The sequence below is a fragment of the Homo sapiens genome, chromosome 1 (assembly GCF_000001405.40).
Source record: "Homo sapiens chromosome 1, GRCh38.p14 Primary Assembly".
In the NCBI taxonomy this organism is placed as follows: domain Eukaryota; kingdom Metazoa; phylum Chordata; class Mammalia; order Primates; family Hominidae; genus Homo; species Homo sapiens.
In genome coordinates, this window is record NC_000001.11 from 163131455 (window position 1) to 163136426 (window position 4972).

The 4972-nt window shown below is 40.6% G+C and overlaps 1 annotated feature.

Moving 5' to 3' along the window:
* Positions 378 to 952: an enhancer, noted in NCBI's record as "NANOG hESC enhancer chr1:163101622-163102196 (GRCh37/hg19 assembly coordinates)". NCBI's record gives its function as "activates a minimal SCP1, AML or CMV promoter by ChIP-STARR-seq in naive H9 embryonic stem cells {active_cell/tissue: H9 hESC(naive)}" and the evidence as "EXISTENCE:reporter gene assay evidence [ECO:0000049][PMID:30033119]".

A 4972-nucleotide genomic window follows, 5' to 3' on the forward strand; every position in this document is an offset into this window, starting at 1 on the left:
TGGTACTGAGAAGTGGGGCATTGCTATAAAGATACCTAAATATGTGGAAGCAGCTGTGGAACTGGGTAACAGGCAGAAATTGGAAGAGTTTGGAGGGCTCAGAAGAAGATGGGAAAACCAGGGAAAGTTTGGGATTTCTTAGAGACTTTTTCAATGATTGTGACCCAAATGCTGATAGAAGTATGGACAGTGAAGGTCAGGCTGAGGAGGTCTCAGATAGAAATGAAGAAGTTATTGGGAACCAGAGCAAAGGTCTCCCTTGTTATGCCCTAGCAAAGAGCTTAACTGAATTCTGTCCACATCTTAGGGATTTGTGGAAGTTTAAACTTAAGATTGATGACCCAGCTTATCTGGCAAAAGAAATTTATAAGTAGTAAATCATTCAAGAAGTGACCTGACCGCTTCTAACAGCCTATAATCATATATGGGAGTGAAGAAGTTACTTAAAGATTTATATTTAAAGGGGAAGCAGACCATAAAACTTTGGAAAATTTGAAGCCTGATCACATGGAAGAGAAAGAAAAAGCATTTTCAGGAGAAAAATACAAGTAGGATTCAGAGCACTCACTTGCTAGAGAGATTAGCATGACTAAAAGAGAGCCATTTCTAATATCCAAGACAATGGGAAAAAGGCCTTGAAGCCAATTAGAAGTCTTCAGGAAAGCCCCTCCCATCACAGGCCTAGAAGCCTTGGAGAAAAGAATGGTTTTGGCAGCCAGGCCTAGGGGGCCACTTCACTGCTCAGCTGCAGGACACTGTTCCCTCATCCTGGCTGCTCTAGCTCCCGCTGTGGGTCAAAGGGGCCTAGATACAGCTTGGGCTGCAGCTTTGGAGAGTGAAAGCCACCATAAGCCTCGGCATCTTTCACATGGTGTTACATCTGATGGCTTGCAGAATGCAACAGTGAAGGAGGCTTGGCAGCTTCCATCTAAATTTCAGAGTATGTATCAGAAACCCTGCCACAGAAGCAGAGTCCCCATGGAGAGACTCTACTAGGACAGCACCAAGAGGATCTGTGGGGTAGCCCCTAAATAGAGTCCCCCACTAGAACACTCCCTATTTGAGCTGTGGGAAGGGGGCAACCACCCTCCAAATGGTAGAGCCATTGGCGGCTTGCATTTGGAACCTACAAAAGCCTTAGGCATTCAATTCCAACCTGAGAGAGCAGCCATGGGGCCTGCACCCTGCAAAACTAAAGGAGCAGAGCTACCCAAGGTTTTGGGTGCTCACCTCTTGCACCAATGTGCCCTGGATGTGGACATTGAGTCAAAGGAGATGATTTTGGAGCTTAAAGATTTAATGACTACCCTGCAGAGTTCCAGATTTGTGTGGGGCCTATTGCACCTTCTTTTATGAATTTCTGTCTTTTGGAATGAGAATGTATATCCAATGCCTGTACCACCATTGCATCTTGGAAGTAAATAACTTGGTTTTGATTTTACAGGTTCATAGGCGGAAGGAGCTTGCCTTGAGTTTCAAATGAGACTTTGGAATTGATGTTGGCATGAATTAAGACTTTAGGGGACTCTTGGGAAGATATTACTGTATTTTGCAATGGGAGGAGGATGTGAGATTTGGAGGGCCAAGGGCAGGATGATATGGTTTGGATGTTTGTCTTCTCCAAACCTCATGTTGAAATGTAATCCCTAGTGTGGAAGGTGAGGTCTGGTGAGTGGTGTTTGGGTCAGGGGAATACCTCATGAATGGTGTGCTGCCCTCCTCATGGTAATGAGTGAGTTCTTATTTCATTAGTTCACACGAGAGCTGGTTGTTTAAAGAGCCTAGCACTTCCTCCCTTCTCTCCCTCTTGCTTCTGATCTTGCCATGTTATGTGCCTGCTCATACTTCATCTTCAGCCATGATTGGAAGCTTCCTGAGGCTCTCACCAGAAACTGAGCAGATGTTGGTGCCATGCTTGTACAGCCTGCAGAACCATGAGCCAATTAAAGCTCTTTTCTTTATAAATTACTCAGTATCAGGTATTAATTTATAGTAATGCAAAAATGGAATAATACAGTTTCTCATAAGAAAAATGGAGTAAAAATTCTTGTCTCATAAAATCACATGTGCAAGATATCTGGCATAGTATCCAACAAGAATATAAGCAAATTAAATTTGAAGTAAGAGGAATTTCTACCATAGAAATTAGAAAGAAGTAGTAGAAAGGACTCAAGTAGTAAAAAGAGGAAGTTCAGAAAAAGATAGCAAAGATTAAGCCCAAGAATAAATGATATAAACATATCAAAAAAATAAAATTGTGGAACATCAGAGACAGATTAGCTACAAAGACTCTGAAGGAAGAGAAACTGGACTTTGAAAGCTAATGAAATTACAAATGTAGAAATGATTTGGAAATGTAAAGGAAACATCCAGATGTATGAAGTCATTAAATACTAAAGTGAGACAACCATGAACAAAATGAGACAATATTAGGCTTCCATAAGTGGACATTAAAGCATAACCTCAAATGTTAGTAAAGAGCTCCAGACTTTGAGGAAACAAGAGTGGCAGATGGTCCAGCTGGCTGTAATCTGAGATCAAACACCTTTTTTAAACAAAGAAAGCTAGGCAAAGTCTTTGTATGCAAGCCTGAATGGCAGACTAAAGAACAGTCCTTCACATATGTGCTACTCTATCTTTCTCTTTTTTCTTAACCACTTAGATAAACTTTGAACCTGTTAGTGTTAATCTCTAATGAGAAGGATTTATTATTATTATTACTATTATTATTATTTTTAGAGCTGGGGCTTTGCTCTGTCACCCACACTGGAATGCAGTGGTACAATCATAGGTTACCACAGCCTTGAACATCTGGGCTCAAGCAGTCCTCCTGCCTCAGCCTCCTGAACAGCTAGGACTACAGGCACCCACCACCACACCCAGCTAATTTTTATTTTTTATAGAGATAGGGTCTTGCTATGTTTCCCAGGCTGGTTTCAAACTCCTGGCCTCAAGCATTCCTCCCACCTCAGCCTCCCAAAATGCTGGGATTACAGGAATGAGAAACTGTGCCCAGCAAGAATAACTCTAAAAGATTTTATATATATATACATATATATGTGTGTGTGTATATATATATATTTCATATATAAAATATATATTATCTAATATATACGTATTAGAGAAATGCAAATCAAAACCACAATGGGATACCATATGTATAGTATACATACACACACATTTATACCACAGATCTCCAATACAGAGCACACAGATGTCACCCAAGATTTTTTTCTGTCTCTATCACTGGCCCTGAAAAGGTTCTATAATGCTGAGTTTGTTAGCAGCACGCTGCAGAATCTGGTATAAGGAAGGAACTCCAGAGCTGGAGGTGGAGACCCATGCTCTAGGCTCAGCTCTGCCAGTACTATCCATGTGACTTTGCCAAGTCCCTTAAATTTTCTGAGTTTCAGACTTCTTATGTGTAAAATGAGCACTTGAATCCTATCTACTTTAACCAAGTCACAGAGTTGCGAAGATGATCAAGTGAAATACCATAGGGAAAAGTTACACAAAGAGTAGTTATTATTAGGTCATCGAGAAGACTGTGGTACTGAGGAGGCCAAAGCATCTGCAGTAGATGTCCAGTAGAACAGCTAACTGACCATAATTCTGTGTCAACTGGCTAAGTTATGTTCTAGGCTTTCAGAGCACAAGAACACCAGGAATAAGGCATGGTTCTATGTCTTTTTCTAGCTCACACTTAGGAAATGGCAGAAGGAAGGAGGTAGTGGGACAGAAATAAGGACATATTACTGCTGTCTCTCCTGGTGATACCTATTGCTTACTTTCTCTGATCATGTCCTAATGATTTACACCAGGAAGATAAAAAAGGAAGCAAATTGGCCTGGATGAGGATTTGAGAAAATAGCCTTATTTTACAGGTTAGAAAACCTTTTTCTTTATTTTATTTCATTTGCTCCTCATCACCTCACTGTGTTATAGAAATCTAGGTAGTTCCATTTTTGCAGATGAACAAAAAGAGGTTCAGGGAGTTAAGTTACTTGTGCTGCCCAAGATCACATAGAGAAAGAATCTACCCTACAACTAAAATTTTGTGACTCTGAGCCACATAATACTAATCCAGCTAGAGGGAGATGATGGTGGTAATTAGAAAAGCCATTCTTCCAGCCCTAAAGCCTCATATTACCTATACGCCATTTTTTTTTTTTTTTAGTTTTATTTTAAGTTCTGGGGTACATGTGCAGGATGTGCAGGTTTGTTACATAGGTAAATGTGTGCCATGATGGTTTGCTGAACCTATTAACCCATCACCTAGGTATTAAGCTCAGCATGCGTTAGTTATTTTTCCTAATGCCCTCCCTTCCTCCAACCCCACCCCGACAGGCCCCCAGTGTGTTGTTCCCCTCCCTGTGTCCATGTGTTCTCACTGTTCAGCTCCCAATTATAAGTGAGAACATCCAGCGTCTGGTTTTCTGTTCCTCCCTTAGTTTGCGAGGATAATGGCTTCCAGCTCTATCCATGTCCCTGCAAAGGATATGATCTCATTCCTTTTTATGGCTCCATAGTATTCCATGGTGTATATGTACCTCATTTTCTTTATCCAGTCTATTATTGGTGGGCATTTGGGTTGATTCCATGTCTGTGCTATTGTAAACAGTGTTGCAATGAACATATATGTGCATGCATCTTTGTAATAGAATGATTTATATTCCTTTGGGTGTATACCCAGTAATGGGATTGCTGGGTCAAAAGGTATCTCTGGTTCTAGATCGTTAAGGAATCGCCACACCATCTTCCACAATGGTTGAACTAATTTACATTCCCACCAACAGTGTAAAAGCCTTCCTATTTCTCCACAACCTCACCAGCATCTGTTTTTTTTCTTGATTTTTTAATAATCATCATTCTGACTAGCCTGAGATGGTATTTCACTGTGGTTTTGACTTGCATTTCTCTAATGATCAGTGATGTTGAGCTTTTTTTAATATGTTTTCATATACTGCACAAA